Here is a 21,329-nt window from a genome sequence, read left to right on the forward strand (position 1 = left end):
CCGGTAGATCACTTGAGGTCAGGAATTTGAGGCCAGCTTGACCAATGTGGTGAAACCCCATCTCTACTAAAAATACAAACTTAGCTGGGCATGGCGGTGCATGCCTGTAATCCCAGCTACTTGGGAGACTGAGGCAGGAGAATCGCTCAAACCCAAGAGGCAGAGGTTGCAGTGAGCCAAGATCAAACCATTGCACTCCAGCCTGGGCAACAAGAGCAAAACTCTGTCTCAAAAAAAAAAATTAAATAGGGTTTAATAAACAGATTTATTTTGAATTTTTAATTATTGCAATCCAAAGAATTATACAATTATAAAACTGTAGGTTTTCTGGAAGATTATCTTGTCCCTCTTGCCATCCTGCATAAAAACAAGCCAAGGTTCAGAGAGTTTGCTGCCAGCCCGGGGCCAGGCCAGCAGCTGCTGGACGTTCTGACCTCAGTCCCAGACTGTCAGCTCCTTTAGAGGGGAGTCATCTTCCGTTCCAGCCGGTATCACTGCCCTCTGGCCCCACAGAGTTCACGGGCATGAATTTCTTCCATGCACATGCTGAAGAACAGTGGTCTGGCAGAGAGCCTTGAACTAGGAACTGGGAGATGTGAGTGATTATTAGAAAATTGCTCATTAAAGCTCATAGTGTGTTTAACAGATTAATGTTATTTTATTTTAGATATTTTTATTTTAGATTTTTAAAACCATCTTATTCTAGATGTTTTAAAGCAAGAAATAAAACCGGTATTGAAACACATGACATCACATAAGTGCTCTTCCAGCATCTTGATGGTATTTGAGTTCTGGATGTCCAGAGCCGCCCCCAACCCCCGCTCCCCGCCTCCCTTCTGATGCCTCTCAGGGACTCGGCCTTCATGTGTCCAAAGGCAAATTCCTGCCCTTCTATCTCCTCAAGCCTTTGTCCTCCCCTGTTGCCCCTGCTAAAGCTGTTGCCATCTATCCCTTTGCACAAGAGAAATACAGGTATCCCTCTCTCTCACTTTATCAAATTCAACACCATGTTCTAGCTGTTTTTTAATTTTCCAAAATAGGTCTTCATTTCTCTACCACCCTAAACCAAGCCACTATCATCACATTGCCTGGGGCAGTGCAGTAGCCATTGACCTTCACACCCATCAAATATTGTCCAAACAGCAGCCTCGACTCAAAATCAGTCATGCACTGGTCCACTTGAGCCTTCCTTGGCCTCCTTTTGGCCCTTAGAATAAGGTGACCACCCATCCCAGGGACCTCAGGGCCAGCATCACCTGACTCCTGCCTGCTTGTCCAGCCTCCCCCAGACACCCCTCTCCCCACCCCACCTGCAACTCCACCGGACTCATCTCTGCTTCTGAACAGATCCAACTCTCCCCTACCGCAGGGCCTTTGCGCAAACCCTTCTCTTTGCCTGTGATCCTTTACGCCCCTGTCTCCTTCCTTGTTCGTCCCTCCCGCTTCCCCTGACACATCCCCACTCGGGCAGCACCCCCACCCCGCCAGCCCCAGTCCAGGCTAGATCTCCCGTCTAAGCTCCCACAGCACAGTAGCAGTGATGATTTATTTAAAGCTCCTCTTCCCTGCTAGAGTGAATCCCCATGAGGTCAAAGACCGGATCTTTTCTGTCAACCACTGTATCCTCAGTTCCTAGCACAATCCTGACATCTTTAATCTCTGCTTCACATCATGGCGGGAGAAGCCAAAGGGCCCCGGAGATATTTGCCAGAGAAGCAATTAGGAAAATGGCCCAGCCCAGAGAGCTGGAGCAGAAATGAAGTCCAAGGAAAAGAATGCACCGTCCGTGATGGGGAAGGAATAATAACCACAGCTCCTGCACAGGCAGAGCAGCTCGGATGCCTGTGTCATAAGGAGCAGAGCTGTCATGGATGCATATACTATGTGCGGCTCTGTATAAATTCCTCTCAGGTAGATGACAGCATCTAGCAAAGAACATTGCCCACAGTAGGTGCACCATCCGCCTCGACCGGTTTGATTTGACTGTAGACTCTGAAAGGAGCCTCACTGTTCAGCTAGGCTGCTGGAAGGGACTGAATGACTCCATCCCTTCATGACAGAGGCTCCTTGTCTTGAACTTGGAGGAAAATGCTCTATTGCATGGTTCTGTCGTGTAAATCACTTTTAAAAATTATTCTTCCCTCTATAAAAGTATGCATATTTTGGAGCATGATCTATCTTTATGCAAGTGGAGGGGTGAACGGAATATTTCATCAGGATAACCATTTACTGACAATTCATGCTATTTTATAGTCCATGTCTTTTGGAATGGATGGGAGTTTGTTATTCAGTGGTTTATAAAATCTTCCAGACTGAATGATGAGCTCACATCTGTTACAATTGGTATGGAAAGTAAAACTGGCGTGAGTTGTCCATAAATATTTATTGTCAGGAAATATCAGTATGTACAGCTGTTTTTAGGAAAATAATGCCTATTTTATTATTGATACATAAAGTGGGACATTTATGTTTACTACCCATAATAACACAGGTAGTAATAAAACAATATTCTGTAAAGAGTATCAGAGAGGCAGAAACAAAGATGAAATTTTGGTTTCTAAAGCAAGTTTTACAAAAACATTATTTAAAGACCATACTACTATTCTCAATCCCTTTCAAAGTGTTAAAAAACTTTAAGTCAGTCAAGAATTGGCAACTAATTTTCAGAATCAATAATATGATCATAATTTCTGCCATAGAAAATGGCTTTGCTGTCAAAGACCATCTTGAGAACAGGCAGTATATCCATGCTGAATTCAACAGTTCTTACCTCCTAATGTGAGCCTTGGTCATCTGGAAAGAAACAGGCTCCTTACTGAGTTCCATATCGTCCCTTCCTGCTCCCCAAAAGGCTTTTTTGAGGGAAAACTTTCCGCAACAGGTCACTTTAAAACTACATAAATATGTATATGTGGTATGTAAGTGTATGGATGTTTATGTACATGTGTGTATGTATATGCATATGTGTATTTATGTGTGTGTTTATGTGTACACGTGTAGATGTATGTGCATATATGTAGGTGTGTATTTGTATATGGATATGTATGTGACTGTGGATGTGTGCTTGCATATGTGTAGATATGTGTATATGTGTTTGTGTATCTGTATATATGTATATGTACATATGTGAATGTGTGTATGTGCGTGTGTGTGTGTGTGTCTTCCCTCAAAGACCATCTGATTATTTTTCCCATGCAGCAGATAGTACATGAGTAGTTTGCACCTAACTTTTAAAAGTCTTATGCGTATGGTTGGTGGCTGTCGGAACGAAAGTGATTTTTCAGGACAATGTCAGGCTGCAGAATCAAGGGCCCTGAGGAGAGAAATGGCAGGCAAATGCTGGGGTCGCATTTGCTTTGGTGTTCCTTGCAGGTCAAAAAGACAGCAAGCTCTTGCCTTTCACTTTGCAAAATCTGAACAACGTTTTGGAAACCTGGTCCCCACTGCTCTTACAGAAGGGAAAGGGACCCCTCACCAGGAAGAGCCAGTTTCCCAACCCCAGAAGCCGGGGACCCTCAGCCCTCCCAGCAGCCTTCGCCGCCACGTTTGTCCCCACAGGCCGCACACACGGCCATGCTCACCTCCTCCTGCGGAGGCTGCCCAGGCCCCTCACAGCCCGCAGGATCTGGGTCACACCTGAGCCAGCTCTGGGGACACTTCGAGGCTCTGCATTTCTTACATGTTTCTTTTCAATCCTGACCTTCTCTTAGATCACCCCAAAGGGACACCCCGAGCCCTGACCATTTACACAGATAGTCTTTTAACACTTGGAATGGAAGCATTTGAGCAAAGAACACCAGAAACAGAACACCAGCCAGTCTCCTGCCAGATGGATGACATTATTTTCCACTCATTTAACAGAGAAAAATAATTGAACGAGGAACCGGGGTACATGTGTTGCTCTGAGTGTGGCGTGCGCAGTTGGGAAACCTCAGAACGGTGTGGCCCGACCGTGGCCATGCTGAGGGTTTTGTGGTCTGGAGGTTCCTGGAGATTTTCAGGATCTCACATTCAGAATCCCACATTTTCAGAAACACCACAGAAGAAGCTATTTATTTGGCTTTGTTGTTTTCTTAAAAATTAAGGAAATGATTTGGAGAGACTAGGCCTCCGGGTTCTTGCTTTTCTTTTCCCCACAGAATTTAGACATTATTCAAACATTTATTCTGTATCATCTTTTTAGTTTGTTTTTCAAAAAAGACATTTATCTTGTGATAATGGCTAGTTGCAGAAGCTCAGTGAGATTCTCAGGTTTTCTTAATTGCAATTTCGTCTCATGCGCTTGAAATGCCAAGCACTAATGGTGTTTGAAGTGGGGCTGGCGTCTGATTCACCTTCAGAGTTATCTTGAGCTTTCAGCCACAAGAATTTTAAACCTGACAGTGGTAAAGAAATGCCCTTCTTTCCTGATTGCTCCGTGTGCGTGGTATTCTGTAACCGAGGTCATTAAAGGTAGACGTCACAGTGGCAAGAGCCCGACAGGCCTGTCTCCTGGTGTGCCACCTCCATACTTTGGGACTTACCTGTTACAGTTTCTTGGCCTTGATTTCCTCATCTGAAAAACAGGAGAATAAGCTCTGTTAAGCAGGATCAGTACAAGGATTAGATTCACTTATTAACATTCTCCTACATTTGAAATTCTAAATGAGCACAAAAGAGTTTCGCGACTGTCATACCTTTGAATGGGAACTAATAAAACTAAAAATCCCATGTTGCCAAGTTTATAATGCTGATTCATTTTATGCATCACTTTGCCTGAAGTTTCAGCATAAAATGTGCTCTCGATTATCTAAGAAAAATAATGCATAGAGAACTTTTTATGACCAAATACTCGTCTATACCACTCAACACTTTTGAATGGCTTTCCCAATTACCTTCCCGGAATATACAGGGACCATAAATTAGTTCTACAGAATATCTAAAATAACTACAATTTAGGGGGTATGTGTGTAGCAAAACATCATGGAATGCACTCTAAAGAGAAATACATGTGAATTCAGATTGCATGTTCTTCAGGAGGGACTTATTCAGATGCGGCCCTTCCTTAGTGCAATTAACTGTGAACTGCCACAGTGAGATCAGAAGGTCGTGCCCAGCAAAGGTGAAACACAGTGATAAAAGCAGTCCCTCCATCAGCGAGGACAGGCTCAAGGTCAGCCAGTTGCCATTGAGATGCTAGACTGTGGCATGCAGATGGGAGCCTGGAACTGGTCGCTGGAAACCACACCAACAAATTTGGAATTCCGTGCACTGATATCTACCCCACATGAGCAGAAACTGAGTTTGGCCGTGGACCGACTGAACCCTGCGCCAGTTCCCATGTGTCAGGACTCGCTGGTGTGCAGAGTATTTGCTGCGGCTTTGATCTCATTGTTTTAGTTTACTGGCTCTCCTGATTTGGCATTAAATGCGTTAGAACCTAATCAGTTCCAAGATGGCTTTCACGATGCGGTTCCTTTTCCTAACTATTTCCAAATCAATTCACTTAGGGACATTATAGGTTAAGAGTAGTTGTTGTTCTCATATGAATCTTGAGTCAGTTTTTCTTTTGTAAATAACTTCATTCTTTTTCATTGACCTCCTCAATATTTATTTCTAAATATTTTTAATTTTTTAAAATACTTAAGATTTCATTTGAAATAGAATTAAATGAAAGTTAAGGAAGCCTTATCATGAATCCAGTTCTGCAATGTCATTCTATTAATAGCTGCAGTCTAAATACCAGTCCCAGCCATCACAGCATGTCCATCGGGTAAATCCTCACTACGTGTGGCGCATGTTGTCCTCCCCAGCCCTGTACTAGTCCAGGAGGGAGTTATTCTGCTCCCTGCTTTACCTATGAGGAAATGAAGACCGGGAGTGGGGACAGGGGGAGCTGGTGCCAGGGCAGGGACAGAGCTTGTGCCCCCCACCTTGACCACAGCACCACTCAGTCCTCTTCTGTTTTTTTTTTCTTTTTCTTTTTTATTTTATTTTATTTTGAGGTGGAGTTTCACTCTTGTTGCCCAGGCTGGAGTGCAGTGGTGCCATCTCGGCTCACCGCAACCTCCGCCTCCCAGGTTCAAGTGATTCTCCTGCCTCAGCCTCCCGAGTAGCTGGGATTACAGGCATGCACCACCACACTTGGCTAATTTTGTATTTTTAGTAGAGACTGGGTTGGTCAGTTTATAATGACCACGTTAGTCAGTCTGGTCTCGAACTCCTGACCTCAGATGATCTGCCCACTTCGGCCTCCCAGAGTGCTGGGATTACAGGCATGAGCCACCACGCCCGGCCTCAGTCCTCTTCCAGTTACCCACTACCCTACCCAGAAGTCACGGCCAATCCCCACCCTGTGCCAACTCCAAATTCACTTAATTATCATACGCACATGTGCGCATGCACGCGCGCGCGCGCACACACACACACACACACACACACACACACACACACACACACACAGCAATCACTGAGTGACCATCTTAATGGGGATTGGGTTACATTCATAACCTATTTTGTAGGAGAGAATTTTCCAAGGGACCAAAAACGTTGACCAGACCCAAATCTAAAAAGTATTGCTGCCCCTGCGCCTGTGAAAATGCAAGGGACTGAGCCAATGGGAAGAAGGTGGGGAGAAGGGGCTGAGCGCCCCGCAGCCTGCCCCCACCCCTGGACCTGCGGCTGCCTCCACTTACTCCTGGGAACCTGGGCAAACCACTTCACTTCTCCAAGCCTCCATTGCCTCAACTTTCAGTAAGGATGCTAATCATAGCACCTGCCTCACAGTTGAGTTACTAAGATTAGATGAAATAATGCATTTAGGCACAGTTCAGCTCCTGGCACTAGAAAATATTCAACGGTGTTAGCACTGTCGCTATTACTGTGTCATGACTCAATGGGAGAGCACTTAAGCTAGTGCCTTCCACACAATGGTCACTTAAAAATGTCCTTAGTTAAATGAAATCGGATGCGCATGAGTTCAGCGTGAGGTCCGGGTCAGGGAGAGGAAGGGGCATTGGCGGGTAGGGTTGCGTCGGTGGGGCCTCCTCTCTGCCTCTGACTGGCCTCTTTGCCCCTCTGCTTTCCTGGTCAAAGGTTCGTAAGCAAACGGTTTCTCCCACTCCTCGGAACATGGACTTCCTTTCTGGAAGGCACTGGCCTGGCCATTTACCTCAAATGCCGGTGTTCCTGGCTTCAGTGCCCGGCTGCCCAGCGGCCTCTCCCTGAGTCTGGGTTCTCAGGTTTCTGCTCCGCCTCTAGATGACCCCTCTGCCCGCCAGAGCTGGCCTGCGGGTCACCCTGCAAGATGACCCTCTGCCTGCCCGAGCTGGCCTGCGGGTCACCCTGCAAGATGTCCCCTCTGCCCGCCAGAGCTGGCCTGCGGGTCACCCTGCAAGATGACCCCTCTGCCCGCCAGAGCTGGCCTGCGGGTCACCCTGCAAGATGACCCTCTGCCCGCCAGAGCTGGCCTGCGGGTCACCCTGCAAGATGACCCCTCTGCCCGCCAGAGCTGGCCTGCGGGTCACCCTGCAAGATGACCCTCTGCCTGCCCGAGCTGGCCTGCGGGTCACCCTGCAAGATGACCCCTCTGCCCGCCCGAGCTGGCCTGCGGGGCATCTGCAGCCCACGGGGCCAGAGACCCGGATGCAACTATGGGCCCGCCCCGTTTCCTCAGGCAGCTAGATTTCTCTTCATATTCCTTTTCCAACAAACGTCTCTTGAACATCGACTGAGTTGATAGACACCACGGAGCCTAATTCTTGTAAATGAGATATTTTCACAGTAACTTCAGAACGTGGTATTTGTCAAGGGCCTCTAGAGAAGCACCAACATTGCTAGCGCTTAAAAGAAAGACAAATGTCTTCCGACTCTGGTGATTCAGAGATCAAGGCACCTTCACAGATTTTCATAAGCAGAGCTGGGGAAGGAACTCCAGCAGGAAGAAATGACTCAAGGCCAGATGAGGAGGTGGGGAGGCCCTGACTCTTGTCTGGGGGTAACAATCGTGGTTTAACTGGATCCTGATGTTGCTGTGAGGGAGGATTAGAAGACAATTGGCCTGAAGCCCATCACGTAGGGCTTAATGCCAGGCCAGGGGAGCTGAAATTTATTCAACAGATAATGGTACATTTCTGAAGGTTTTCCCCAGTGGAGAAATGCAACACGAGCTGAGCTAACGAAGGTTTAAGTAGGCAGTGGAAAAGGGTGAATTTAAAGGGATAGAGAGAAGGCAGGAGAGGGCGGTGGGGAGGTTATTCCAACAGGAAGGTAAATTTGGAGACAGACCATAAGGGACAACGTGCGGTGGTGGCAACAGAAACAGAAAGGAAGACCGACCTCGACAGTCGAGGGGCTGGGGGATAGGATGGGCTTAAGCCAGCTCCTCCTGCACTTTCACAAGTGGCAAGACCCAACTCTTTTGGTAGCGTAATCCAGTGTCTTACCATTTTTCATGGAACCACATTTGCACTAAAATGAAGCATAAGAAATTCAGAATGGAGGAGGAATTGTTATGGGAAACTATCACTGGGCCCATGGCTTTTTGTTTTGTATTTTTGAGATGGAGTCTTGCTCTGTCACCCAGGCTGGAGTGCAATGGCACGATCTCGGCTCACTGCAACCTCCACCTCTGGGTTCAAGCAATTCTCCTGCCTCGGCCTCCTGAGTAGCTGGGATTACAGGCATCTGCCACCACGCCCAGCTAATTTATGTATTATTTATTTATTTATTTATTTATTTATTAGTAGAGATAGGGTTTCACCATGTTAACAGGCTGGTCTCAAACTCCTGACCTCAGGTGATCCACCCTCCTTGGCCTCCCAGAGTGCTGGGATTACAGGTGTGAGCCACCATGCCCAGTCCCCAATGGTTGTTTTAAATGGCACACAATTTGAAAACATCTAAATTTCCTGACCATTTGGCTAACCTTAATACTCTTTAATAATATTAAGTAATCTAAACCAGATTAGTTCAAAGTTCTGTTTCTTTCGATTTCTTTAAAAAGATTTTCCTCCATTCCTTGTGCGTTGCTATTACAGAAGACGATTGTTACCTTCTGATCAATGAGCAGGCGATCTCACAAACTTGCAAGGATTTTTTTCAAAGATAGAAATAGATACAGATTGATCCCGAATGTAAAAATCAAGCATAGTGCTAATATTTAGACATTTTCCCAGTGTATCCAGGGATTATTTGAGTCACCAGAAAAGATTTTTCGTGACTTTTCTTTATTCTTAACATGAAAAGTTTAGCAGCAAGTCAAGTTTCTGGAAAATCCTATGAACCATCTTGTTCTTTGGAGAGCTTAACGACACCTAGGTCATCAACAACAATCAACAATGAACTATTGATTTCAGCTGTAATGATCGAATAGCAGTGCCTTAAATCCTTCCTGGCAGGGATGGCAGCATTGCATGCACATGTATATGTGCACGTGCCAGAGTAAGCCAGTGTGTGGGCACCAAAGTTACCTCTGTGGTTTGGAACATCCAGAGGCCCAAAGCCAGCCCTTAGCTCCGTGCAGGTAAAAAGGGTAAGAAAGTGCAACAGTTAAAGCAATACAACGGAGTGAAGCCTCCTGTGCTTATTTCTAAGTAATCAAAGCAGCTGTATAACCACAAGGCAGCTGTCCCAGGCCGACTGCTGACCGTGTAGCTGACAGTTACATCATGAACTAAGGGAATGTGATTTTTAGAAATTTCACTTATTACCTACCTACCCATAGTTCATGAGATGAAAAAGTTTTGTAACTAAAATATGTAACTTCCACATAAAGAATCGGGGAATTAAGAGGACATATAACAACAAGATAAACATACATAATGAAGGTCCACGTTACCATTAGAGAAAGTGAACATAAATACTGAAATATTAAAGTAAGGTATACAGGGAATATAGGTTTACAGTGTTGTGATTTTTAAGTAGAATTTTTAATCATTTTTGGAAACTAAACAAAAATCCAGAAGAAAGCATATGTTTTTCTCATCATAAATATAAAAAAAAACTGTGAAAAGAAAATGGCAATACTAACCACATTTTGATACATTCTCATAAAGTCTAGTAACAATAACTTCTAGCACTTTAAAGTTTTCTAGTTCCGACCTAGATTTTATTTTTGCCAAGATACAACCTAGCCTGATAGCTCCAATAGCAATTACAGAATATGACCCAATTATTTCTTTACCCCCCAAAAAAATTAACATTTTTTTGGTTAGGAAACAGAAGATATTTTAATGAAAATGATCTAAAACAAAAAATGCAATTGTGGTAAAATAGATGAGGAAATTGTACTTCTTTGTATTAAAATATTTTTCATAAAACATTAAAAATATATTAATGAGAATTTAATCTCATATAAGAAAGTTAATATGCTATAATATTGCTTTATGTATGTTTATACGAAATTGCAGGGAAGTAAAACAAATTATGTCATCATAATATTATTTTGTATCCCCTACAGAAATATTTTTCTAAAACCACTAAAAAAGCATATTACAGACTTAGTGAGGAGGCTACCTGTAAACAAATTATTTTCATGGAGAAGCAAGGAAAATTACTAAAAACAAAATTTACATTTAAAATGTAGTCAATAAAGGTCAGGTGGTCAATGTTGGTCTCAGTTTTCCCCAAATGTAAAATGGCAGCCCAAGGAAAAGAGAACCGTTGGACAAAATTTGAAAGGAAAGACATATTTTTAAGGATCAGTTAGGAACAACTTTTTATTTTCTTTTATAGTAAATTTTCTGACAGCCATATCCTTGCATTTAAATTCTACCAATCACAGTGACTCAAAATTATAATTTGTAATTATAATTGTTAATTGCTTAATGAATAATTAATTTCACAGATAACTTGAAAGCTATAGATGGATGATAGATTAGCTAGATAATAATAGAGAATTTTAAGATTAGAAGGAAAACAGTTTTCATCTGAATAATATGTCCATTATAAAGAAATGTTTTAAGTGGTATTTTTTATTTCACTTTGTTTTCATATATATCACAACTGAATTTCTCAGCCAGAGCATCTATAAAGACATTTCATTATTTTGCATATGGTGGTTTCCCTTTGATGTTTGGTGGTTGAACTTAACCTTTCTGTACCATGGGCTCCTCCTCTGTAAAAATGTGAGCAGTAACATTATCAACTTTCCAAGGTTGTTGTGGGGATTAATGAGAATTCAAATTAAATAAGCTAAATGTATTTAAATGCTTAGCATAGTGCCTGACACACAGTAAGAATTAAAATTTAGGTCAAACCACATGAAATTGACATTTTTTAGCCAAAAATAGTTGAATATTGGCAACGTTATCTGGTTCATTATAAAGCAGTATTCACTTTTATAATTATTCTAGGCTACGTGCCTATTTTTAAAAACGTAAATGCATACAAAAGAAAAAATGACACGGACCAAAAAGTATTTAAAACCAAGTAATCCACAGATTAGGGGGAGCTCCTGTCCTAAAGTGATTACAAGGGCGACCATAAGGAATTTCTGTGTTAATTGGCTTGGCCACACCGACACTGAGTGCCCTTAGCAAGGAAGCAGACTGTAAGGGAAACAGCCGAGGCTTCAGCTTTAGGTTGACCTGAGATCAAATCCCACTTTGACAATTTGCTTATCCGTACAGTGGGTAGATTTGGAATATTAATGAATGCACCATGAACTCCTTGAATTGATCTTATTACGGAAGTGAAAGAAAGTAACATTTTTTAGCACCCCATAATTGTCAAGCTTTTGGCTAGGTGCTGTCTATAAATTAGTTCATTTAATTGTTAGAACTATCATGTAAGAAGCACTGATACTGTTATTATAATAATGATTATAATTACAGCAAACTCTGCTGCAGGACTTACTAGTAGATAGCAGCTGCTTTGCATATATACCCTATTTAACCTTCACAGCCACACGCTAACATAGATCCCTGGGAGGAATATTCGAGAGTTTTTCCCATCTTCTTCAGCATCATGGCCAACCTCATAGAATTAAGGATTAAATGAAGGAGCATACATAAAACTCCTAGCCTGATGCCTGACACCTTGCTTCCCACAGGGCCAATTCAGGGTCCTTGTCCCATGCCCTGAGGCCCTGAGTAGCCCTGGCCTTCTGCTATCAGAAGGGCTTCCTTAGTAAACCCCACGCAGTTCTAAGCTCTATAACCCAGAGCAGCAGGAGGCTGTCTTCATACCGCAGCCCCTGGGGGGTGTTAGGAGACTCGTGGAAACCCATTTTACTTTATTCTTCAGGAAATATAGGCCCCCAAAGTCTATTTCTTGCCAAAAGCTCTAATTTGCTATCTTATAGTGGTCAGGTTTTTGGGGTAGAATAGTAGAACTAATTAAAAAGGGAGTCCATTGTGTTCCTTCAAGCAGGAAACAATCATAACAGGACTTAAAGGAATTTAGTATTTTGAGTAATTTTCTTCACCTTCAGGCATTTTTTTTTTGAGACGGAATCTCGCCCTGTCGCCCAGGCCAGGCTGGAGTGCAGTAGCACAATCTCGGCTCACTGCAAACTCCACCTCCCGAGTTCAAGCAGTTCTCTGCCTCAGCCTCCCGAGTAGCTGGGATTACAGGCACCCGCCACCACGCCCGGCTAATTTTTGTATTTTTAGTAGAGACGGGGTTTCACCATCTTGGCCAGGCTGGTCTTGAACTTCTGACTGAGTGATCCACTCACCTCGGCCTCCAAAAGTGCTGGTGGAATTACAGGCGTGAGCCACTGCGCCCAGCCCACCATCAGACTTTTTACATGGAGAATGTTTGGGGGCCCAGTGATGTAGTTCTTTATGGGATTCATAAAGGGTTTCCTGACAGACACACTACTCGAGTAATGACTGTAGCACGCAGAGATATGTGCAGCCCAGCCATTTATTTCACTCATTTTAATGTACTTTGCTCTTTCAGACAGGGCAATAATTAGACCTGCCAGTAGCTTTTCGATATGAGAAAAACCACTTTAAATGCTCCACACTGATTTCTGTAAACAGCTTGCTTTTTCTTAATTTATAATGTTATCTCTTCTAACAGGCCATAACTACATAAAGGGACATGAAAAAAGTAAAAGAAATACCAGATAATTTCGAACTTAAGATCACATGTACTGAACTATCTATCCAAACCATTATTTTACCTTAACTTGAATAGCTGTCAATTGTCGATCTGATTTTGCAATAGCTCACTGCCTATCAGAAATTCCAAATCTTTTTGTAATGTTTGTTTTTAACTTTCAAACCTGCTCTCAATGTAATATCTTTCTTCCTGCGACGAAGCTTTGTTTCTTTAGTTAAATTGAAATAAGACTATGTAAAGACTTTGTCTCCCTATTATTCACTAAAGAGGGTGAACAAAATCACCAGACCTCAAAACAAAATTGACACCCTGGTGCTTACTGGTGCTTAAAGGGAATGTCAGCACACCCACTGAAATACTTCTTCAGTGGAGGTCACGGTTCAGGTTGCTGGCATGGTTTTATAAGGAGGCTCGTGTTGCAGCTGTCTGCACTGTCCCTAGCCTGAAGATAAATAGCAGACTTCAGTTTCCACTGCTACTGGTCTTTTAACCTTCAATAAGAACAAATACTTCTGCCTTAGCTTCATCTGCCTCCAAGTTCATCTCCCAGGACCTAGTGAGCTATCTCTTATCTATCTCCTTCCCAGCCTTCAGCTTGGGCTTCCTAGAGCTCAAGAGCATCCCAGCCCACTCTCATCTTTAGAGGCTCCCCATACATTAAAAAATGTAGAAATGCCAACACAAGTTCAAATCAATTGCAATATATCATGAATGTTTACATTGAACAAATTCACACTTTTCACATACAAACCAAAATAACAATGACTTTATGTGTAGCCTCATTGAGACTTAATCCAACTTAAGACACTTTGTAAACCTGAGCGCTGCACCCAGAAGTGTGAGTTCTTGCCTCTGATTAGCGACCCCTCACAGCCACCTGATGGGTGGGTGGGTGTGCAGTCATAAGGATGTAAAGCAAGCTTTTTAGAAACCTAATTCACTGTAAATGTCCCTCCTTCTGTATATGACCATCAATTCAGCTTCTCACAATGATGGACTGACCGTGCAGTGTCCTCTGCATTGCTTAACACAATCCCTCCAATTCTTCGGTGCCCAAGGTGGTGGCCCGGGATACCTGGGCACCTTTAGAAGTGATAGTGACTCTTCATCACATCTCTCTGCTCTCTGAAATAGTGCTTATTGCATCGACCAAAAAGAAGTGAATGCTGGAGTGGCTTGTGCATGCCAAAAAATCTAACTTCTGAGATCTTCTGGTCTACTCCCTAGCTTCCCAGGGTGATAAGATGAGACTTTGTTTTCTTTATAACCTCTACCCAGTAGACAAATAGGCCAAAGATAAGAACAAATCACTCTCACAAAGGAAAAAAAAAAAAGCCCACACAGCAAAATAATACATGGGAAAAGGTTAACCCTCCTTAGTAATTAGAAAAATGCTAACTAAAGCAACCTTAGAGTAGCATTTTATAGACGCTGGATTGGCAAACACAATTTTACTTCTAACACCCAATGCTGTGATAAAGCAGGCACCCGTATGTGTTGCTGGAACATCATACACTGGCCTAACCTTTCTGAACAATCAATGTGGCAGCCTATACCAGTAACCACAAAATGTTCATATTCTTTGAAGCAGTAACCTCACTTTTGAGAATTCTTTCAAGGAAATAATACAACTAAGGAAAAAGACTTTATGCACAAAGATGTTGATTGCATCACTCACAAAAATTGTGCAAATCTGGAGGTAGACTTAATGTCTCTAGCCAAAGAAGAACAGCTGAGTAACTTGTATTCCTTCCACTCCATAGCTATTAAACAGCCATGACAAATGATAATTAGGTAGAGTAGATATCAATGTTGAAAATCCCAGATGCCATAACTCAGTGAAATCATCCTCTCCGGTAACAACGCATTCCAACCTCAAGGTCTTTGCCTTTGCTGTTCTGCACTGCACGTTCTTCTCAAGCTTATTTCTTTCTCCCAAGCCGACTTCTCCACACTAAGATGTCAGCTTAAATTTAATTTTCCCAGGGAGATCTTCTGGATCATCGTGCCTGTAGTGGCCCCCCAAGTCCATCTCTACCACATCACCTTTCCGTTCCTTGCCAGGACTTCTCACTCTGAAGTACTCTTATTTAATGGTTGGTTACCTGGCATATTACCGGACTCCTCTGCCAGAATGTGAGCCCCCTAGTCTACATTCCCACTCTAGTCCAATAATCTATCCTCAGCTGCTGAAGCTCTAGAACACAGCTGGTCTTCTTGAAATCACAGAATTTGGATGATGACATCTGAGTTCATATTAGAAGCTGGTTCCTGAGTCCCACCTTGGATTTATTGCCTTGTTCTTTTATCCTCCGACTGGGAAGCCAGTTTACAAACAGACACTGATCTAAGCACCAGGCAGGCCATGTGGCCAAATGAAGAGAGCTGTATTTCACCAAGGCGAATGCTCCAGCTGTTGCTCTGGGGGTCCTTCCCACCACCCAAGCCCCATAGACGTGTCAGGAACCATCAGCCTGACCTGCCCGCCCTGCCCTGCAGCCAGAGCCTACCTGTGATGAGGAGAGTGGAGGACGGAGTTGGCGTCCTCGAGGCCAGGAAGGTTGCCTGTCCCTCAGCACTTCCTCTGCCAGACTACCTTGACTCCCCAAATTCCCACCACTGGAGCTGCTCCTTTGAGCCAAAGGTGTCTGTAAAAACTAAACATAGGCCGGGCACGGTGCTCGTGCCTGTAATCCCAGCACTTTGGGAAGCCGAGGTGGGTGGATCCTGAGGTCAGGAGTTCGAGACTAGCCTGGCCAACATAGTGAAACCCCGTCTCTACTAAAAATACAAAAATTAGCTGGGCATGGGGGCGCGTGCCTGTAGTCCCAGCTACTCAGGAGGCTGAGCCAGGAGAATCGCTTGAACCAGGGAGGCAGAGGTTGCAGTGAGCTGAGATGGCACCACTACACTCCAGCCTGGGCAACAGAGGGAGACTCCGTCTCAAAAAACAAACAAACAAACAAAAATATATAGCCTAGACTGAGGACCCACCATCACATGGCAAGTCTTTAAGTCCAGGGTCTTGCTGATAGAAGCACGTAGGGGGCACAGAGCTCCCAGTACAGATATTTCCAAGAGGCTGGAACTAAGTGGAATGACCTATCCGGAGGCCTTGGGCAGGTGAAGGACAACAGAACTCTGGGAGGTAACACTGGGGTGAAGCCAGAAAATCAGTTGAGCCCTTTACCCAGGTCTCCATCAACCTCTGGAGGTTTACATTGTCCAGACCTAAGATGGCAGGCGCCAGACTTAGTGGAAGCTTGGTGAGTGAGCCTGCTTACCAGAGCATTTGCCTCAGTTTACTCGGCGCTCTCAGTCTACTCTGCAGATGACGTTGAATTTGGAAGCCTGGTCCAGGGCAGGAGCTCTGATGTCTACCCCATCCCAAAGGGCCTAGGACCATGGCGCTGAAGAGTCTGGAAGAGGACGGAGGGTTTCTTTGGGCTCAGAGGCCAACGTAGCAATCTATGCAGAGAAGGTGGCGGTAGATGCGGGGATTTTCGCCTCAGTAGAGAAGCGGAGGGAGTCTCCTCGAAGCCTCCGCCCTCACTCTCTTCCTGCAGGGAAAGATGTGAGCCAGAATGCTGCCAATGCCTCTTACTATCTCCTGCTTAACCGGGCTGTCTCCTCGTGGCCAGCAACGGGCAAGGAGATAGTCTCTCTGTCAATTCAGCTACTTATCTGACATAAATTGGAATTATAACACATGTATTAAGTGCCTTTAGTGCCTCAAAACACAAAATCAGGAAACCGGAATATAAATTATTTTGCAAATATTAAATCCCATAGTGATACTACAAAAGAATGACCTTTTTGTGGCTTAAAGCACAAGTATCAGGTGTGCATTTGAAAATAAAATCTGCTTCCTCCCATGAGTTTAGTAGGGCCACGTCCACTGCTTCCTCTCGTGAGTTTAGTAGGGCCACGTCCACTGCTTCCCATGAGTTTAGCAGGGCCACATCCACTGCTTCCCATGAGTTTAGTAGGGCCACATCCACTGCTTCCCGTGAGTTTAGTAGGGCCACGTCCGCTGCTTCCCGTGAGTTTAGTAGGGCCACGTCCGCTGCTTCCCGTGAGTTTAGTAGGGCCACGTCAGCTGCTGCCCGTGAGTTTAGTAGGGCCACGTCCGCTGCTTCCCGTGAGTTTAGTAGGGCCACGTCTGCTGCTTCCCGTGAGTTTAGTAGGGCCACATCCGCTGCTTCCTGTTGGCTTATCAGGGCTGCATGTCTCACAGTCAGCCAGCAGTCTAGGGAATGGGCCAGTCATGAGCTGTGCTCCTAAATTTGGAAAAATCAGGACCTTGTGGAGACAAAAAGGAAGTAAACAGAGCTACCATCCTTCAGATGACCACGTCTGGGTGCCATTTGCAGAAGAAGAGCCAGTCTTTTCCCCATTCAGTTAAGCACCAACATATTGAACTATATCTGAAGGAAAACGGAACGATTAAGTGTAAGCTTAAGCTATAAATTGTTTGCTCATAAAGTCCTACGACCAAGTATCTTAATCAGAGATGTAAGCAGGGTGCAAGGTACCAGTCTAGACTAAAAAAACTCATAAAGGGACATCCCAAAGATGAGGGCTCCAAGTTCAAGGTGAGTCCAGATAACAATGTCCTGCTGTCCCTCATGGCCTGAGGATGAAGCAGTTGCTCTTTAAAAGTGTTGCTCCTTTGTGAGGTTGTAGAGTAAACTCATTTTATTAAACAGTAAAGCAAAAAACACTCCATGGCGTTCTGTGGGGCTATACTTCCTGTCCTCTCCCAGAGGACAGTTAAATGATGGCCAGTCTACTCTTATCTGGGAGCTACAGTATAGACAAAATAGCAGCTGCAGTAATAATAGTTGTCGAAATTTATCAACAGCACGTTAAATTAATATAAACATAATGCATATTCTCTTATTTTTGTCCTGGAACCTGTCCTTACAGATGGATATTATTTCCCCTGTTTCAGTGGAGCTGGGATGCATGGCCATTTGTGTTCAACAAGAGCACGCCTCCGCCCCTCAGGGGTCCTGTTGTTTCATTTCCAAGCTGCCTTTGTCCAGACTAATCTTAATGTCCTGATTCAGGGGAAAGCCATCGGGTACACTAAACTGAGGAATTTTAAGAGATAAAAATGTAACTCGGACAAATAAACATTCTTTATTCAAAAGTATCAAAAGTCAGCATATTTCACCTATCAACATTTCCAACAAGCTTCAGTGTCTATTGTGCAAACCCAATTTTGCTGCTGTGGCAAATTAAATGGCCACATTCAAAACTTCCCCCCACAGTTTAGATACTGTTCTCTCTCTCTCTCTTTTTTTTGTTTGTTTTTTTTTGTTTTTTTTTTTGTAAGATGTGGCCAAAACTTTGATTGGGCTTTAAAGCCTTAAACATTTGTAAAAATATCAGGCAAGCTCAAGCATTTTCAGACTGTGTCCTGCATTAATACACTTGGGGCAAAGTGGATGTCTCTTGCCACATTTAACTCACCAGTGTAGAAGCTGATAAAGGCTGATAGCCAGAGCTTGGAAAGATATTTCTAGGTTATTTTTAACTAAGACAGTTGTAAAAGGCGTGATGGATTTAACTCCGTCACTTTCAGAGCAGCTAACTGAGTTCAGCCAGCAGACTGCTTTGATTTGTTCATTAAATGTATTATGTTTGCATTACTTGAGTTCATTTGATGAGATATTCCCACTCTGTAAAATATCCAGCTAAGGATTTGGAAATCTATTCAAATTTTGCATCCATTAATTCATTTTAGAATTTTCAAAGAGTAGGTACTTTAGGCAAGCTAAGATATATCCCAAATATTCGGGGAAACATCCAATCTACAGAAATGGTGTAACGTGTTTTTTCATCGTAAGCACGATTGGTGAGTTTATCCATTTAATTATTTTTCTTGCTAGAACAAGCAGTACATCAAGGCCATGAGAATCTTTTACTTTGTAGCTCTGTGCCCCGCTGTGCAGCCCAGTCACCTACAATGATTCAGCCTTATCTTGTTATGATGGTGAGCACTGGGATGGCTATGCAAAGGCTTCTAAGTTCTGAGTTCATCATTTTAGAAATGCGTTTCCCCATAGTTTAATGTGTTTGCTGATAACATTTATTAGAAATCTGAGATGAGCAGGGTGAGGGGGCCAAGCCTGTAATCCCAGCACTTTGGGAGACCGAGGTGGGTGGATGACTTAAGTCGAGACGTTCGAGATCAGCCTGGGCAACATGGCAAAACCCCATCTCTACAAAGATAAAAAAATTAACCAGGCGTGGTAGTGCGTGGTCCCAGCTACTCGGGAGGCTGAGGCAGGAGAATTGTTGGAGCCCAGGATGCCGGGATTGCAGTGAGCTGAGATCGTGCCACTGCACTCTAGCCTGGGTGACAGCGTGAGACCCTGTCTCACAAAAAAGAAAAAAAGACATCTGAGATGAATTTTTATTTTTGTGCCTCAATCACAGAAAAAAAAATCAGAGCTGAAAACAGGTTGTATCTGGCATCATTAACATTACCTAGAAATGGAGAAGTCTGATAGCAGCTGCCAGGCTGGCTCATTTTTAAAAGTTTTCACCACCAGTGTAGAGGTGGTTACAATTATTTCCAGTAGGTTTTATCACTCCTGAGGGCAGCCATCAGTAGTTCTTTTCCAATCAAAATCATCTATTTTGCTGTTTCGCGAGCTGGTTGAAAATCACCATGTAGCTATGAAATAAACCATACAAAACAAAACTTAGATATTAAATGAAAGCACTATAAAAATCCGATATGTTCTTCTTCTTGGAGCAAAAGCTGCTAAAAAGTAAATGGGACCAGGTGCAGTGGCTCATGCCTGTAATCCCAGCACTTTGGGGGGCTGAGACGGGGGGATCACCTGAGGTCAGGGATTGGAGACCAGCCTGGCCAACATGGTGAAACCCCATCTCTATTAAAGAAAAAAAATACAAAAATTAGCCAGGCATGGTGGCGGGCGCCTGTAATCTCAGCTACGCAGGAGGCTGAGGCAGGAGAATCACTTGAACAGGGAAGGTGGAGGTTGCAGCGAGCCGAGATTGAGCCATCACACTCCAGCCTGGGTGACAGAGCAAGACTCCATTTCAAAAAAAAAAAAAAAAAAAAAAAGTAAATGGGATAATCTCATTTTTCACTATGAACAAAAAGTTTTTTTTCTTCTCAAATTTAAAGATGATCCAGGTAAACCCCACTTTAAGTTGAGGAGTACATGATTGAAAAGCAGCCAGATGAAGCTACCTAGCTGTAGAGACCCTCCACATATTGAAGCTCATTTGATCGAACATTTCCAAATTCATGTAAGTGCTATTTCCATGGATAACAACTCACAAATATGTAAATAGTAAACAAAGAATTGGAATTAGGCACATGGTGGCCACTACACCTACCATACACTTTATTTAGAACTGAGTTTGCTTATATCAGTATCTGGATCCAGTAAACCCACAAGGTAGCAATTTACTTATACTTTCATTCATTCAGTTTACAAGTGCCCAATTTGAATTTGATGCCCACGATGAGGTTTATAACATAATTACCATGATCCTTTCCCCCCACGAGGTGGTAGAATGCAAAAGGGCTAAGTAAACAGGAAACATCTATTAAGGGTTTTAGAGTAACCTGGAAATAAGCAGGGAGGGGACTACAGGCCTAGTGCTCCAGGAATTCAAAAGAAAGAAAGATGATGTGGATGCAAAATCAAAGAGGGAGTAACATTAGCCCTGAACCAAAGTAAGCTTGAACTTACCAGGAGGAAGAGGAGAGCATATTCCCATGGGGAATTTAGGCATGAATGAAAATTTCATGCAGTGGGGTCAGTAGGAAATCCAGCCTGAGTGAAGCAGGAGGTCCCACTGTGGAGGAGAATGCAAGTGACCGGCTTCGTGAGGGAGATGAGATCACACAGGGGCCAGACGACTGGGGTTTTGAATCGGATCCATTATAGAACATGGAGACACTGATTATTAACCAGAAAAGAAATGATGAGATAAATTGTTCTGCAGGGTAAATCAGGAAGAGGAGGCTTTGAAGATGGAAAGATAAACAGACTATTAACTATGATCCAGGAGGAACTGGAGTGGGAGGCCTGGCCCCACCGTGTCCCACACAGCAGCAACTGCACAAAGAAAGGAGGGCCAAGGGCAGCATTTCATCTTCCGAGCCCACACTCGGTGCCTGTGCTCCTCACAGGAGCCTTCTGCACTTACCAGGGGGCCATCTGAGGGCCTCCACACCACATTCAATTCCAGCAAGAACTGTTGGAGAACTGCAAGAACCCTTTCCT

The 21,329-nt window shown here is 43.7% G+C and overlaps 1 protein-coding gene across 4 annotated transcripts in view, besides 2 other annotated features; it reads left to right on the forward strand.

The window, feature by feature from the left end:
- Window positions 1-21,329, forward strand: part of PACRG (parkin coregulated) — a 588,369-nt gene that overhangs the window by 556,752 nt on the left and 10,288 nt on the right. The gene's annotated exons all lie outside the window — the stretch shown is intronic.
- Window positions 6,990-7,496: an enhancer, noted in NCBI's record as "H3K27ac-H3K4me1 hESC enhancer chr6:163711905-163712411 (GRCh37/hg19 assembly coordinates)". NCBI's record gives its function as "activates a minimal SCP1, AML or CMV promoter by ChIP-STARR-seq in primed H9 embryonic stem cells {active_cell/tissue: H9 hESC(primed)}" and the evidence as "EXISTENCE:reporter gene assay evidence [ECO:0000049][PMID:30033119]".
- Window positions 7,497-8,002: an enhancer, noted in NCBI's record as "H3K27ac-H3K4me1 hESC enhancer chr6:163712412-163712917 (GRCh37/hg19 assembly coordinates)". NCBI's record gives its function as "activates a minimal SCP1, AML or CMV promoter by ChIP-STARR-seq in primed H9 embryonic stem cells {active_cell/tissue: H9 hESC(primed)}" and the evidence as "EXISTENCE:reporter gene assay evidence [ECO:0000049][PMID:30033119]".

Source organism: Homo sapiens, chromosome 6, assembly GCF_000001405.40.
Source record: "Homo sapiens chromosome 6, GRCh38.p14 Primary Assembly".
In the NCBI taxonomy this organism is placed as follows: Eukaryota; Metazoa; Chordata; class Mammalia; order Primates; family Hominidae; genus Homo; species Homo sapiens.